The sequence below is a fragment of the Homo sapiens genome, chromosome 5, assembly GCF_000001405.40.
Source record: "Homo sapiens chromosome 5, GRCh38.p14 Primary Assembly".
In the NCBI taxonomy this organism is placed as follows: Eukaryota; Metazoa; Chordata; class Mammalia; order Primates; family Hominidae; genus Homo; species Homo sapiens.
In genome coordinates this window covers 34,232,685-34,250,139 of record NC_000005.10, presented here as the reverse complement: position 1 = coordinate 34,250,139, position 17,455 = coordinate 34,232,685, and the positions used below count along the sequence as shown (strand labels likewise).

General features: G+C 36.2%; 1 protein-coding gene across 1 annotated transcript in view, besides 2 other annotated features; it reads left to right on the top strand.

Moving 5' to 3' along the window:
• Nucleotides 5,122–5,416: an enhancer, noted in NCBI's record as "tiled region #11513; K562 Activating DNase unmatched - State 12:CtcfO". NCBI's record gives its function as "activates a minimal TATA promoter and a strong SV40 promoter by Sharpr-MPRA in K562 cells {active_cell/tissue: K562}" and the evidence as "EXISTENCE:reporter gene assay evidence [ECO:0000049][PMID:27701403]".
• Nucleotides 5,230–5,409: a silencer, noted in NCBI's record as "silent region_15965". NCBI's record gives its function as "represses an Ori minimal core promoter by ATAC-STARR-seq in GM12878 lymphoblastoid cells {active_cell/tissue: GM12878}" and the evidence as "EXISTENCE:reporter gene assay evidence [ECO:0000049][PMID:35858748]".
• Nucleotides 5,416–17,455, top strand: part of C1QTNF3 (C1q and TNF related 3) — a 226,867-nt gene continuing 214,827 nt past the window's right edge. The window contains exon 1 of the transcript NR_146599.1: nt 5,416–5,524. The gene's annotated coding sequence lies outside the window, so the exon portion shown is untranslated. The remainder of the gene's footprint in view (nt 5,525–17,455) is intronic.

Genomic DNA, 17,455 nt, shown 5'->3' with positions numbered 1-17,455 from the left:
GTCTATTTTTCTAAATCTGGAAAAAGAAATTCTAGAAAATATTGTTTGTTATGACACAGAAGATATAAGTTTATTTAAAGAACTGGCACATTTATGATTTTAAGGCTTTTTCAAGAGCATGGAATTTCTTTCCCCGTGCTCAAGTCCAAATTTGTGCCATTCAGAAGTGTTTTCTAGTTTTTTTTTTATATAGGTTTTAAACATTTCTGGTTAAGTTTATGCCCTCACATTTTATTTTAGTTTGGTTAATGACGTTTTACATGTGTGAGTTCCTCAATTATTTCTTTTAAATGTTCTGATTCAATAGGAACAGTCTCCTTAGTATCCTTAACAGAAATGATTCTTGTTTATAGAATTGCTAAATAAGTAAAGAAATTTTAAGTTAAATCATGGCAAGGAGTTATAATTATACAAAGCTTTTTTGTTCCTAGAGATTTTGGCTCACTTATATGGTAATCTATATGAAAATTTTTCTGTGATATCTAATATTAGAAAGATCCTCAATGATAGAATAGTGTTTCTTCCTAGCTGATTCATACATCTTTCTCTGCCAACATTTTGTTTGTTGAAGTGTTCCCCAACATATGACTCATTGCTTACTAAATCCCTATTGAGCAGCCAAAGCCCTGGTGACTAATTATGTCATTAATTTGGGAAAGTCAGAGACAATAAGACTGTCAGTTGAAACTTTGTAGGAGGTAAAAAAGTCACTGCTGTCAGCTGCAAAGATCCTTAAAATGGTCTTTAATAAAGTCAAATTTTGTGACAATAATTATTGCATCAAAGTCGGGGAAATACCTCTTAGATCAAATAAGATACATTGAAAAGCCAAAAATTATTTTTATCTCACTTTGTATTCTCATAAGGTCTATCCACTGTTATTTGGATATGAGACTTAACAAATGGAAAAGAAGACAAGGGTACTATCACACTGTATTTTCCTATGGCCTAACGACCACAATGGTTGATGAACTGCAGTAAAGTTTCTATAATATTTTCCATCTATTCATTTGCTCAATCACCTTGTAATGGTTATGTTGGTTAATTCCAGTCTTTCATGTGTAAGCAACAAAATGAGACTTATTTTGAAATATCCAGTATTTTTCTATTCTTACAAATAATTTTCAGGATCAATGCATTGAGGATTAGGAATGGCAATGTGTATTACTACTTTGATACCAACTAGATCCAATCTAATGTTGGAATTTGTTTGACAAAGTGTTGTGTATTTGAAAATAGGTAGCACTGAATAAAAAGAATATGGGCAAAAGAAAAATGGAAGTGTTTTGAATGGAAGTCTAAAATATTTATTGATCAATGCTGAACTGAGTAAGCAGGAGATGCCTGTACATAAATGACATTATCCTGATCTAGTAACAGGGAGAAGCAGAATATCTGAAAGCTGTTTATTAATTTGATAATAATAAGATTAGAAACATGCAAATCAAGATTAATAGTATTCACTTCTAATTGGGTTTAGGTAGACTTTGACTATTTTGCTTCTGATGTTCTTATATATTTAATTTTCTATAATGATCATATAATATATAATATTTTCATAATATTAAACATTTTAGAATTAAACTCCATTAGAGTGTATCTTTCCTAAAATAATATAAACATCCAATCTTGTCCTTAACAATTCCGTTCTCAAACATTAGCCTATTCCCTCAAGCCAATGTTGCTTTCGACCCATATTGTCCATCATTTCAATTTATCTCAAAGTTTTTTATTGCAACAATTAAATGCTTTGAATGATACCCAAGGCATAGTTCTATTTCAATAAAATTTCAAAGTTAATAGTTACATCAAATTTTGTTGGTGCTCATTGAATTTGATTATTAAAACCATAAGTAGTATGTTTTATGCTGACTGAGGGAGATAAAAGTAGTAATGTTTAATATTCAAACTGTGATGACTGAAAAAAAAAATTACAGGCCCTGTAAAATCTTATTTAATGTCAAATTTTAATTAAACAGGCTTAGCAGACCAAAATTAAAATCTCAATTATTTTTAAATTATTAATGACAGACAACTAGATTGAGTGAACACTGGCATCTCTTTTCAAATAACTTAGTTTAGTGGATGAGTTAAATATAAACTAGTTATTATAATGCAGCGAAGTATGTGAAAAATTTAATTTGAACCCTACTTAGCTTAAAATCCTGACATTCTAGGATGCAAGTCCTGCAAACTTTCCATATGTAATCAACAATTTTCTAAACATGCATGCTGTATCTCTCCTGTGTGACTTTGCATACATCATTCCCACATTCTAGATTATCCCAACCCACCTTAAGTGACTGCTTTTGCATAATCTCCCTTAAAATTCTAACTCAAGCACTGCATCTTTTGAGTCCTTCCCTAACATCTTAACATCTTCCTTCTTTCATTCATCATTAACTATAGTTAGTTATTATAGCACCTGTTAGCACTGTAAAATTATGTGTGTTACACAAGTACAACATGCAGACTAAGGTCGTGTATTACCTAGCCTCATATCAGCGTCACCTAGAACAGCAAAAATGTATGCAGATTAATCACAATATATTTGGATGTACAAAATATATTGAGAGCAAAATATGATGGAAATTTAGGTGATGCTCTTTGAGCATTGCTTCCATTTTCCAATAATGTAACCAGGAATCACTGTTCACGTAATTAAAGAACAATAAGTCTATGTGAATCAAAATATACATATGCATGCAAATGTTAAACCTCAGTAGGAAGAGGCCCATTCTCTTGCTTGCTGCTATATATATATATATATATATATATACACATATATATATGTTGTGTGTATATGTATATACACACAACAATCTATAGGCTTGCTTTTTAAAATAGTATAAGCAACAAATTTTAAGAGAAACAATAATGAGTGTGTAAAACATCAGATATATGTACCTTTGCTATTATTTGTGGAAATGGGGCTATAAAATAAGCTCTTTTATTTTCTTTTGTAAAACATTTCTTTAATATGAAGTAATGCAATACGTATTTATGTTCTAAGTGTTTTAATTTCCTTGGATATAAAATAATATCTTGTTCCTTTGATTCTCTTACATATAAGTGTATTTACTCAGATATTACTCCAAATACACCAGATATATTCAAAGTTGAAAAAATATATACTTTGGAATGTATTATCACCTTATTTCACATTAAGAAATCAAAATCTCTGGCATCCAAGTGCATTCCAGCCTGAAAAAAATTATGCAATTGTGAATTTAACAGAAAGCAAATTGCTCACATATGGAGTCAACGTGAAGCTATATCAATATTTATTAAAAGTTTATATATTACTTTTGATCCCCTGGAGAGAAATACAAAATTCAAATAATTATTCTATTTTTATATCCCAATTTGTAATTATGAAACTCTAGAATTTTAATTTTTCTCTTTCAAGTTTACCTGAAGCTTCACAAAATTCTGTGAGGAATCTATTATAACAGGTATTTTGCTTATTTCCACACAAACAGAAGGAAATGTGTATTTTCTATGCCCTGAAGAATTTACTCTTTTCTGTAAATGACATATGGTAGTTAATTCTTTTTGGTAATAAAATATTCCTGTTTTTATGCCGAACAGCCTTTTCATTTAAATTCAGGGCAACATATCAAAGCTTTGCCGTAATAATACAGAGTAATCAACTAAAGTAATATAGAATTTAAATAACAAAGAGTTTAAACAACTTAATATGTCTTCTATTAATTTCAAACTGAAATTTTACAGAAATTATTTGGAATATGCTGCCAGAGTACACACACACACACACACATCACACGCTCACATCACACACTCACACCCAGCTAAAGGAAATTACCACAGCTATAATGATTTCATTAAATATCTGAAATTAAAGTTTCTTTTGGACTTTCAGCTGAAGCTCATAGTAAATAAAAGTAATATGATCATTGTTGCATACTGTGAATCAACAGCACACAGAAACCTTAGACTTTCTATATTTACACAGCTTAATTATCCGAACTGAAACCTGAGGCCATCTGTGTCAACATGATTTCACAATTCATTCCAGAAAAGTATTTTTCCAGGAAAGTAAGGCTGCAAACCTATAAATAACTTATTGTTTGCTTCAGGAAATTTCTGCAAATCAATTTATGTCAGTAAGCAACTCTCCTCTGGGCCAACAGATTGCTCACCTGGGCAGGTAGCAGCTTGTGCCAGTAACAGTTTACTTATGAAGACTTCTGTCATGGCCCTTAACTCACAGTGTCCCCCAATCCTAAACTCTATGTCCTGAACATTACCTATTCTTGTCAGTCATTGGTCTTGAAAGGCCCCGGGCAACCATTTGAGCCCAGACTTCAATACTCTATCAATACCACCTTATCATCTACTTTTCTAACATAACCCCTCAAGGTGGTGACCCCACTTACAGTCGTATTTTATTGAATTTAGCTTTCCCTAATCAACATGCTAGTCTATTGGATGCAGTGTCAGAGGCAACAATCACAGAGGTTCTGAAAGCATCAGCCCATGGTTTTCTAAACATCATGGTTCAAGACCCTTAACACGAAACAGAAAGTTTCCCCGAGGCGCCGTAAACAACCCGTTTGGGCGCTTCCCTGATAATTATAGTGAAATCTGGCATCTAATTTTTTTTGGTGGACTCTCAAATTTTATATTTATGTTTTGATTCCTAGAAATAAAAAATGTTTTTATAAGGAATTCTTTGATCGTTTATGTTTTATTCTTGATAGAAACCTACTTTATAACTTCGAACATTATTGATGTTCTTCCTGTATTTCTGAGAGGTGACAGCTTGCTGGCATCCCTCGCTGGCTCTCGGCGCCTCTTCGGCCTCAGCCCACTCTGACCGCGCTTGAGGAGCCTTTCAGCCCGCAGCTGCACCGTGGGAGCCCCTCTCTGTGCTGGCTGAGGCCTGAGCGGGCTCCCTCTGCTGGCGGGGAGGTGTGGAGGGAGAGGCGCGGGCCGGAACCTGGGCTGCCTGCGGTGCTCGCAGGTCCAGCGCGACTTCCGGGTGGGCGCGGGCTCGGCGCGCCCCGCACTCTGAGCGGTCGGCTGGCGCCGCCGGCCCTGGGCAGTGAGAGGCTTAGCACCCGGGCCAGCAGCTGCGGAGGGTGCACTGGGTCCTCCAACAGTGATGGCCCGCCGGCGCCGCGCTCGAATTTTCGCTGGGCCTCAGCCACCTCCCCGCGGGGCAAGGGGGCAGGGCTCGGAACCTGCAGCCTGCCATGCTGGAGCCCTCACCCTGCTCCCCGCCCCCGTCCCCTGCCCCCCGCCCCCCAACCGCGGGCTCCCGCGCGCCACCCCGAGGGGACGGGCGCCACCTCCTGCTACGCGGCATCCGGTCCCGTCAACCGCCCAACGGCTGAGGAGTGCGGCAGCGCGCCAGAGACTGGCGGGCAGCTCCGCCCGCGGCCGGGATGCACTAGGCAAAGCCAGCTGGGCTCCTGAGTCCGGTGGGTACTTGGAGAACTTACTACGTCTAGCTGGAGGATTGTAAATGCACCAATCAGCATGCTGTGTCTAGCTCAAGGTATGTGAACGCACTAATCAGTGCTCTGTGTCTAGCTAATCTGGTGGGGACTTGGAGAACTTTTGTGTCTAGCTAAAGGATTGTAAACAGACCAAGCAGCTCTCTGTAAAATGAACCCATCAGCTCTCTATGAAATGGACCAATCATCAGGATGTGGGTGGGGTGAGATAAGGGAAGAAAAGCGGCTGCCAGAGCCAGCAACAGCAACGTGCTAGGGTCCCTTTCCACAGTGTGGAGGCTTTGTTCTTTTGCTCTTTGCAATCTTGCTGCTGCTCACTGTTTGGCTCTGCGCAGAGCTGTAACACTCACCAAGAAGGTCTGCAGCTTCACCCAAAGATATTCCAAAGATACAGAAAACTATATAGAGACATTTTGTATGGTTCTAATAGCACATAATCCACAGGTCCCTGATCGATAATATGGGTTTTTTATAAAATTGGTTTTTTGTATGCTATGAGGAATTTTACTTGTTAAAAAGAAGAGGTGGAAAGGCAGAATATGAAAACTATGAAAATGACATAAGAGACTATGAATTAGGTGAGAAACCAGAGAGATTTAGAAACCTGTAGACATTGTGCATCCCCCAATGCCTTCCCCCTTAAAAAATATTATATTCTAATCCAGTCCATCAAATAAAGTCTACCTTCATTAGAAACATATTCTCTTGGTTTTTATAATTTCAGTTTTTTTCAGACACAGATAGTGCATATGCAGATTTGTTACTTTTGTACAGTGCACCCTGGTAGTGAGCATAGTACCCAGTAGGTAGTTATTCAGCCCATGCTCCCCTCTCTCCCCCACCCCCATAGCCTGCAGCATGTCTTGTTCCCATGTTAATGTTCCTGTGTGCTCAATGTTTAGGTTCCACTTATAAGTGAGAATGTGTGGTATCTGGTTTTCTTTTCCAGCACTAATTTGCTTAGGATTATGTCCTTAGCTCCATCCATGTTGCTGCAAAGGACATAATTTCATTCTTTTTTATGGAGGCATAGTATTCCATAGTGTATATGTACCACATTTTCTTTATCCAGTCCACCGTTGATGGGCACCTAGGTTCATTCCGTGTCTGTGCTATTGTGAATAACATGCTGATGAACATACGAGTGCATATATATTTTTCTGGTAGAATAATTTATTTTCCTTTGAATATATACCCAGTAATGGGAATGCTGGGTCGAAGGGTATCTCTGTTTTAAGTTCTTAGAGAAATCTCCAAAATACTTTCCACAGTACCTGAACCAGTTTACATTTCCACCAACAGTAGTGTATAAGCATTCCCTTTACTCTGCAGCCTGGCCAACATCTAATTTTTTTACTTTTTAATTATAGCTATTGTGACTGATGTGAGATGGCATCTTACTGTGGTTTTTGCTTGCATTTATTTATTTGCTGATTAGTGAGGATGAGTGTTTTTTCATATACTTGAGTGTCTTCTTTTGAGAAAATATCTGTTCGTGTCCTTTGCCTTTTCTTGATTTAAATTTTAAGTTCTGGGGTACATGTGCAGGAAGCGCAGTTTTGTTACATAGATAAACGTGTGTGGTGGTGGTTTGCTGCACCTGTCAACCCATCACCTAGGTATTAAGCCTAGCATGCATTAGCTATTTTTCCTGATGCTCTCCCTCTCCTCAACCCCCTACAGAAAATTATAGTGTGTGTTGTGTGTTGTTCCCCATTGTGTGTTGTTCCCCTCCCTGTGTCCATGTGTTCCCATTGTTCAGCTCCCACTTATAAGTGAGAAGATGCGGAGTTTGATTTTCTGCTCCTGTATTAGCTTTGCCCTTTTTAACTGGGGTTGTTTTATGCTTGTCATTTTTTCTTCCTTATGGATTTGTTATATTAGATCGTTATCAGATGCATAGTTTGCAAATATTTTCTCCCATTCTGTAAGTTGTCTGTTTACTCTGTGGATAGTTTCTATTGCTGTGCAGAAGCTTTTTAGTTTGATTGACTTTCACTTGTCAATTTCGTTTTTGTTGCAATTGTTTTTAGAAACTTAGCCAAAAATTATTTGCCAAGGCCAATGTCGAGAAAAATATTTCCTAGGTTTTGTTTTAGAGTTTTCATAATTTGAAGTCTTACATTTTAACCTTTAATCCATCTTGAATTAATTTATGTGTATGGTGGAAGGTAAGCATCCAGTTTCACTCTTCTGCTTATGGCTAGCGAATTATCCCAGCACCATTTATTGAATAGGGTGCCTTTTCCCCATTGTTTGTTTTTGTTGGCCTTGTCCACGATCCAGATGGTGGTAAGTGTGCAGCTTTGTTTTTGAGTGTTCTATTCTGTTCCATTGGCTTAAGTGTCTGCTTTTGTAACAGTATCATGGTTAGTGTACACTTATAGTATAGCTGGAAATTGGGTAGTATGATGCCTCTCTGGCTTTATTATTTTTGCTCAGAATTGCTTTGGCCATTCTGGCTTTTGGGGGTGTTCCATATAAATTTAGAGTAGTTTTTTTCTAATTCTGTGAAGAAAGATATTGGTAGTTTCATGGAGATAGCCTTGAATCTACAAATTGCTTTGGGCAGTATGGCCATTTTAACAATATTGATTCTTTTAATCTGTAAACATGGAATGTTATTCCATTTATTTGTGTTATCAAAATTTCCTTCCTTCCTTCCTTCCTTCCTTCCTTCCTTCCTTCCTTCCTTCCTTCCTTCCCTCCCTCCCTTCCTCCCTTCCGTCCATCCTTCCTTCCTTTTCTTATTTCCTTCCTTTTTTGAGACAGGGCCTCACCCTTTCACCCAGGCTGGAATGCAGTGGAGTTACTATAGCTCACTGCAGGCTTGAACTCCTGGCCTCAAGCCGTCAGGGTAGTTAGGACTACAGGCATGTGCCACCATGCCTCGCTATTTAAAAAAAAAAAAAAATTTGTATAGATGAGGTTCCACTATGTTGCCCAGGTTGGTCTCAAACTCCTGGGTCCAAGCGATATACCTGCCTCGGCCTCCCAAAGGCATGAACCACTGCATCCAGCTTCAGATTTCAGCTGTGTTTTGTAATTCTCCTTGTGGAGATCGTTCACATCTTAGGTTAGTTGTATTTGCAGGGATTTTATTTTCATCCTAGGTGTTGTAAATATGATTGTGTTCTTAATTTAACTCTCAACCTGGATGTTGTTGTTGTATAGAAATGCTACTAATTGTTGTACATTGATTTTGTATCCTGAAACCTTGCTAAAATCCTTTATCATTTCTAGTAGACTTTTGTTGAAGTCTTTAAGGTTTTTTAGGTATAGAATGATATTGTTGGGTGAAGACAGATAGTTTGCCTTAATCTTTACTTCCTATTTGGGTGCTTTTCTCTTTTTCTGTTGCGAGATTGCTCTGACTAGGATTTCTGGTACTATGTTGAATAGGAGTGGTAAGAGTGGATGTCCTTGGCTTGTTTCATTTCTAGAGGAGAATGCTTTCAGCTTTTGCCCATTGAGTATTATATTGGCTGTGGGTTTGTTGTAGATAGCTCTTTTTTATTTTGAAGTATGCTTATTTGAAGCCTCAACTGTTGAGGGTTTTTTTTTTGTTTTGTTTTTTCATGAAGGGGCACTGGATTTAATTGAAAGCTTTTCCGGCATCCATTGAGATGATCATATGGTTTTTGATTTAATTCTGTTTATCTGGTGAATCACATTTATTGATTTGCATATGTTGAACCAGCCATGCATCCCAGGAATAAAGCCTGTATTGTCATAGTAGATTAATTTTTTGATACGCTGCTGATGGATTCAGTTTGCTAGTACTTTGTTGAGAATTTTTGAGTCTATGTTCGTCAACAGTGGTCACCTGAATGTTCTTTTTTTTTGCGTCTCTGCCAGGTTTTGGTATTAAGCTGATTCTGGCTTCACAGCATGAGTTAGGAAGGAGTACGTTCTCTTCAACTTTTCTGGAATAGTTTCAGTAGAATTGTAGTAGTTCTTCTTTATACTTCCGGTAGAATTTTGCTGTGAATCCATATAGTCCAGGGCTTTTTGGCTTGGTAGATTTTTTATTACTTATTCAATTTCAGAGCTTCATATTGGTCTCTTCAGTATTTCAGTATCTTCCTGATTCAATCTTGGAAGATTGCCTGTTTTCAGAAATTTATCCATTTCCTCTAGATTTTCTAATTTTTGTGTCTAGAGTTATTCCTAGTATTCTCTGAGGATTATTTTGTATGTCTGTGGGACCATTTTTAATGTCGTTTTTGTCATTCTGATTTATATATTTAGATCTTCTCTTTTTTTTCTTTGTTTATCTAGCTAAAGGTCTATCAATCTCTTTTTTTAAATCAACTCTGGGTTTCATTAATCTTTTGTAGGATTTTTGCATCTCAATTTCATTCAGATCTTCTCTATTTTAGTTGTTTCTTTTCATTCCTAGCGTTGATGTAGGGTTGTTCTTTTTTTTTTTCCCTAGTTCCTTTAGGTGTAGTGTTAGATTGTTAATTTGAAATATTTCTAACTTTATGATAAAGGCATTTAAACGTTCCTCTTAACACTGATTTAGCTGCATCCCAGAGATTTTGGTAATTTGTGTTCCCATTTTCATTAATTTCACTTTCTTAAAATTTCTCCCTTAATTTTGATTTTCACACAGAAGTTATTCAGGAGAAAGTTGTTTGATTTTCTTTTCATCTATTTGTGTAGTGTTGAGAGATGTTGATATTTATTTATATTTTGATTACATTGAGATCTAAGAGTGTGCTTGATATGATTTCATTTTTTAAAATTTATCCAGACTTGCTTTATGACCAAGCATGTGGTCAATGTTAGAATATGTTCCCTGTGCAGATGAGAAGAATGTATATTCTGTGGTTATTGAGTGGAGTGTTCTGTAGATGTCTTATTAGGTCCAAATGGTCAAGTGTGAAGTTTAAGTACACAGTTTCTTTCTTAGTTATCTGCTTTGATGATCCAATGCTGCCAGCGGGGGTGTTGAAGTCTCCTACAATTATTGGGTGGTCGTCTGTCTTTTTGTAGTCCAAAAAGAACTTGTTTTATGAATCTGGGTGCTCCATGTTGGGTGCATTTATATTTAGGGTACTTAAGTATTCTTGTTTGATCATATACTTTCTCATGACGTAATGCTCTTCATTCTTCAATTGTTCTTTTTAATTTTGATTAAAGTCTGTTTTATCTGATATAAGAATAGTTACTCCTGCTTTTTTGTTATCATTTGCATGGCAGATTTTCTCCGTCCCCTTATTTTGGGCCAGTGGCTGTCATTACATATGAGATGAGTCTCTTGAAGACTACAGATGGTGAGCCTTGCATTTTTATCCAGTTTGCCATTGTACGTCATTTAAGTGGGGTGTTTAGCCTATTTACATTTATGGTTAATGTTGATACATGAGATTTTGATCCTATCATCACGTTTGTAGCTGGTTTTTAGGTAGACTTGATTGTGTAGATACTTTATAGTGCCTGTGAGCTATGTACTTAAGTGGGTTTTTGTGGTAGCAGGTGTCATTCTTTTTACTCAATGTATAGCACTCCCTTAAGGACCTTTCATAAGGCTGGTCAAGTTGAAATTGACTCCCTCAGTATTTGCTTATCTGAGAAGAAATTTGTTTCTTCTTCACTTAGGAAGTTTAGTTTAGTGAAATATGAAATTCTTGCCTGGAATTTATTTTCATTAATGATGTTGGACATAGGCTCTTAATCTCTTCTGGCTTGTAAGGTTTTTGCTGAGATATTTACTACTAGCCTAGTGGAGTTCTTGCTGTATGAAAACATGACCTTTCTCTCTAGCTGCCTTTAAGATTTTTTTTTCTTTTGTATTTACTTTGGTGAATATGATGACTATGTACCTTAGGGATAGTCACCTTTTATAGTACCTAGCTGGGTTTGCTGTATTTTTTGGATTTACATGTCACTCTCTCTAGCGAGGTTAGGAAAATTTTCATAGACTCTATTCTCAAATCTATTTTCCAAGTTGCCTTTTCTCTTTCTTTCTCTTCTAGGAATGACAATGAGTCGTAGATTTGGTCTCTTTATATAATTCCATATTTCTTAAAGCTTTGGTTCATTTTCTTTTTTTAATTCTTTTTTAAAATTTTCTTTTGACTCAGTTGATTGAACGAACCAGTCTTTGAGCTCTGAGATTCTTTCCTTAGCTTGGCCTACCTTCTGTTAATATTTCTTATTGTATTATAAAATTCTTATACTGAATTTTTTCTGCTCTAGAAATTCAGTGTGGCTGTTTTTTAAAATGGCAGTTTCATCTTTCAGCACTTACTTAGATTGCTTTACTGGATTACTTGGATTGGGTTTCAACTTTCTCCTTAATGTTCATGAGCTTCCCTGCCATCGAGGTTCTGTATTCTATGTCTGTTGCAATTATTTTAGACTGATTAAGAACCATTGCTTGGTAGCTAGTGGGCTAATTTTGAGGTAAGAGGACACTCTAGCTTTTTGAATTGCCAGAGTTCTTGCACTGATTTTTTCTCTTCTGGTAGGGTTAGTGTTCCTTTAACTGTAGTGTATGTTGAGTATAGGCAATTGGTTTTGTTTCTGGATGCTTTCAAAGGGTCAGGGCTGTCTCTGTCCAGGATTTTTATGTATGAGTAATTCTTGTGTTTGGTTTCACAGGTGTATATGTAGCAGGATAAATTTTGATGTTGTAGTTTGGGATGTGATCCAATGCATGGTGCTTAAGAGTGATGGCCAGTGGCTAGCCTAATACCCAGTGGCTTGGCTGTTTTATACTTCCTTTTGTTTGCAGGTGTGCTCTATAGTGGGGGTGGGAGAGATGCCTCCATCACCAGATCTGCTCCTGGGCCCTGGGGGAGTCTCCTGCAATCACTGTGTTTCTTGTGTTAGGTGTTCTAGGCCACAGGTCTCTCTCAGGCAGAGGCCCTTTCCTAGGAGCCATTCTGGGGAACTAGCTGTAGTGTTTGGGTTCCCTGCACAGGCTTCCTCCCTCTTCAGCTCAGCTTCATTGCTTCAGGCCTCTCCATCCACTCAGCATTTTCTCTCTCAAGATCTGCCTAAATTATGGTGGTTTACTCCATAATTTGGTATCTCTCAGTGGGGGTGGTGCTTCCTGACCATGTCAAATTGACCATCTATTGTCGCAGAATGAAAACCTCTTTGATAGACTTTGTAACATTTTTGAATATTACATTCAGGAGTAAAATCTTATGCAGTGTGATCCCAGCTATCTCTTCACTTTTGAGAATAACCTTAAGTAATTAAAGGATAATTAAATATGTAATTAAAAATTGAAAAATAGCACAGCTACACTTCCAGATCTCAACTTCTTTCAGAAAATTTTAACATCTCTTTAAAGAAAGGTAAATTGAGACCAAAATAGACTAATAGCTTTATAAAAATAAGTGCTCAAGGAGGGTGTTACGTGTGAAAATTAAACTTGGAATTTGTCATTTTACCCGTAAAATTACTGAGAGTAATTTCCTTGAAATGGAAATAACTTTACAAATTTTTAATTAACAAAAATGCTAAAATATTACTCCGCTTACCTTTATGTAACCTCTTCCTTGAAAACAACAATTTACTCATCTGGTGTGTGACTCTAATAACCTTCAATCATTCTCTATATCTGACACCATGACTAGTAACTTAGATCTTTAACTAAGCAACCTTTCTTTCCGCCTTTGTGATACTATATCTAGTAATTTAATAACAAACAATCTATGTTGCAAATTAAACTTCCAAATTGAATACTACTTTTCAAATCCCAAGGACCCATTTCTTCTGCCTCAATCTTAATTAGGTCTTAGTTAATAGAAAAATTAACTGGCTGGGTGCGGTGGCTCATGCCTGTAATCCCAGCACTTTGGGAGGCCAAGGTGGGCGGATCACCTGAGGTCTGAAGTTCAAGACCATCCTGGCCAACACGGTGAAACCCCATGTGTACTAAAAACACAAAAAATTGGCTGGGTATGGTGGTGGGTGCCTGTAATCCCAGCTACTCAGGAGGCTAAGGCAGGAGAATCACTTGAACCTGGCGGGGTGGAGGATGCAGTGAACCGAGATCCCACCACTGCGCTACAGCCTGGGCAGCAACAGTGAAACTCCTCAAAAAAAAAAAAAAAAAAAAAAAGAAAAAAGAAAAAAGAAAATTAACTAAATCAAGCCTAAATAAAACATATTCACAAAGTGGCAGACTTTTTTAATCCAAAAATTTAACTGTATTAATGTCTCATTTATAGAACATTATTTTACAATGAGGTTTTACACATCAATCAGTTGAGTCACTTCTTTTTCTTCTTCTTTTTTTTTTGAGATGGAGTCTCGCTCTGTTGCCCAGGCTGGAGTGCAGTGATGTGACCTCAGCTCACTGCAACCTCCACCTCCTGGGTTCAAGCGATTCTCCTGCCTCAGCATCCCGAGTACAGGCACTACAGGCACGTGAGCAAGAGAAGCTGACAGATTCAAATGTTCACAAACATTTATGTTCTATTTTGATAGATACATAAACTATATTTCTCATTCTTATATACTTTATATTAGGGCATGGGATTAAAGTCAAAATAGTGGAAAATTAGTAGAAATAACATATTTTATATCCAACTTAGTCTCCAAAATCCCAACATGCACTCTTCTGTATACGTTTTTCAGTATGCTTGACTGGAGTGGCCAATTCTACAGTAGTCTTGGAAGCAACATACTGCAGATTAAATACCTTAGTAGCCTATGTTCTTGAATGCGGACATAAAGGAGCAATGCTTTTCCTATCTTAAAAAAACAGTTTATATGAATGAAACTTCTGTTCTGTTTAAGATATTATATGTTGTTGAGTGTAGTTGTCAAAGCAACTAGCACTATTCCAAGTAATATAGAAATCACCAGCTTGAGTTGGGTCTGCTATAACAGCACCTAAAACATATCCACTAAATTAGTATTAAATGGACAAGTAAACCAAACTCAGAGGGTTGAAATGAAGACTTGTAATACCCAGTGAAAAAAAATTATTGAAACTACCATCTAAAATTAATTGGAAGCTTAATATTACCTCTAGGAAAGAGTGTGGGAAATGAGGAAAGGCAAAAGGTAATGTGTTCGTGTTTGTTCTGTTCCATAATCCAAGAAATAGATAAACACAGGCAAAAAAAAAAAAAAAAAAAGAAAAAGAAATATCCTGTCTTTAGAGTGGAAAGAAAGTGGATAGAGTTGAGTTGCTAAACCTTAGCATTATTGACATTTTATGCCTGATATTCCTGCATTCTGTGGGAGGTTATTCTTTGCATTGTAGGATATTAATAGTATCTCTAGGCTATACCACCACATACCAGTAGCATCACCACCTAATCATTATAATTCAAAATGTCTCCAGACACTGACAAGTGTTCTGTGGAAACAAAATCATTCCTTGTTGGAAACCACTTGTGAACAAAAAGTCTAGTAATGGTGGAATTATCCAGTGACAGAAAAGCTCAGGTTTTTCTGATTAGGTTGAAAAAGCTGCTCAGAAATTAAATCCTACTGTGTTCATAAAAAACAAGGAACCCAGCCCTGAAGCAAAGAACTAATCAGGGAAGTTGTTTTCTCTTTCAAGTCTATGATTTCAAATGACCTTAAAGTGGTCATCTTTACAGTCAGAGAAGCATATGTGTGTTGGGGAGGAGAAAAAAGAAGGAAATGAGGCAGACTTTAGAATTATACCTAGGAAAGAACTGTATGTTTGGTTATAAACTAGATGCAATAAATAAATAAATGTTTTCCACATAACTACTGGGCAAAGGTATAATAAGCCTATTGTGAGAAAAAAAATTAAGGCTTAAAATATCCTCAAGCATCCCAAATTGCACTAATCAGTGCAATTGATTAGTCATGCTGAGAAAACACTCATTGTTCTAATTTTAAGATGGAGGCATGGAGAATAAGAGAAAATGTAAATTACCTCAGAAAGTAAATCTATGAGCCACAGGGACAATGGACCTTAAAGTTATTTCCACAGGACATGTTTATGGTTTCATCGAATAAATATTTGTATTGCTCAGAAATATTTTTGTCAGTGCTATGCAGACTTCTTTGTCTTCTGATAGGAGCTTCACCATGGTAACTTAGATTTTACAGATAATTTGTGTTTTGACTTTATAGGACACTAGTCCTCGTTAAGTCATATAGTGGCCTAAGGGAGAGAACTGCACGTCATGAAACATCCTGAACTCTTAAGTTGTAGGCAGTAACTGGGCAAAACTTTAAGTTGTTTACACAGTGAAGAGAAGTGAATTTTTCATATATAAAGAAGTGTGCAAATTGTATTTCATGAGTAGTCTTTTGTCTTCTGGAATGGTGATATATACAAAGTAATCTGGGAAGATACAATTTGGTAATAGTAGATCCTTCATTAACTTGAATTATTTTTTGCAGGAAAGATGCGTCTTTAGCCAAAATTACTTAACGGTAAACTGATATGTAAGCAAGAAATCACCTTCTACTTGGTTTAAGCTATTCAGTGTACTCTCTAGATAGATATGACACAAAGCTAGCATTATAATACAGTAAACCAAGTGTTAATGTAACTTTATGTTGATTTTGACTACATTCTGAAAATAATAAAAGTCATCTGATATTTTAGGCTTACGATATGAACTTGATACTATGATAGGTGTTTGAAATGTTTATCTCATTTGATTCTTAGAACAAACTTATATTGTGGGTACTAATACAATACTGATTTTTTTAAATAAGAAAAAGGATTGCAAAATGTAAAAAGTCTTATTAAAAAGTACAAAATTCTATCTCCAAATGTGTAATGAATTTCATATAGTCAGTTAATATTTGTTTAGCTCAATAAAGTAATGTTTGGTGTAATAGTTGATTTCTTTAATGTTCATTCAGAATCACCACATTATCAATTTGAAATTAATTCACCTATTCGAAGAAGTTGCTTCCTCCAATTAAGACAGTATAGGAAGCAAAATAATGGTTTACAAAACAAACAAACCAACAACAAAAAAAAAAACGCATGTCCTGATTTCTGGAACCTGTGAATATGTTAACTTTATCTGGTAAAAGGGGCTTTGCAAGTATTATAATGTTAAGGATGGTAAGATGAAAAAGTGTCCTTTTGAGTTCAGTGTAATCAAATGGGTTTAAAATAGGGAAACATTCTTGGCTAGAAACATAAGGTGATATGATTTCAAAAGAATGGTCAGAGAGATACAGCATTTCTGGTTTGAACAAATGAAAGACCACAAGCTAACAAATCAGGACAGCCTCTAGAGGCTGGAAAAGTCAAGGAAACTGATTTTCCCCTAAAACCTTCAGAAAGGAACACAACAGTTCTCACTCTTTGATTTTAGCCTCATAAGATGCATGTCAGACATCTGACAAACACAATTGTTTGACACTATATTTGTGCTATTTTAAACCACTAACTTTGTAGTAATTTGCTACAGCAGCAGTAAGAAAATAATGCAGAGTGTTTCTATAATGGAGATAAAAGTATAAACAAGAGGCAAGGATTTCCTTCCTTCACAGTGTTTATAATATACTAAGAAAACAAACATTAAATACACAGGGCCCCAATAGATTATTCCACTTTAATTTTAGCTGGCACTGTGGAAGGAAAATAGAAATTCTAGAATATAGTGAATAGGAATATAACTTATTCTTATGTGGGAAGAAATGTTTATTACTGAATACTATTTGGGCTGAAAAGAAATGCACTGTAGTTACAGTAAGTACAGTAAAAGTAGTTTGCTATAAGGGAACAGAGCCATTGAAATGTAATGAAAGTCATCAAAGTTTTAGGCATTAACTGTAAGTTGCAAGGAGTTAAACAATTATAAGCAGTCCGATTATTAAAAAAATATGTGCCTGATTCTCAAAATCACAAGTATTCTTTAAGATTGCTAACCGTAGTAGTGAATTTTCACAATGATATAAAGAATGACTTGAGACTGAGTAATTTATGAAGAAAAGAGATTTAATTGATTCATAGTTCTTCAGGCTTTACAGGAAGCATGAATGGGAGGACT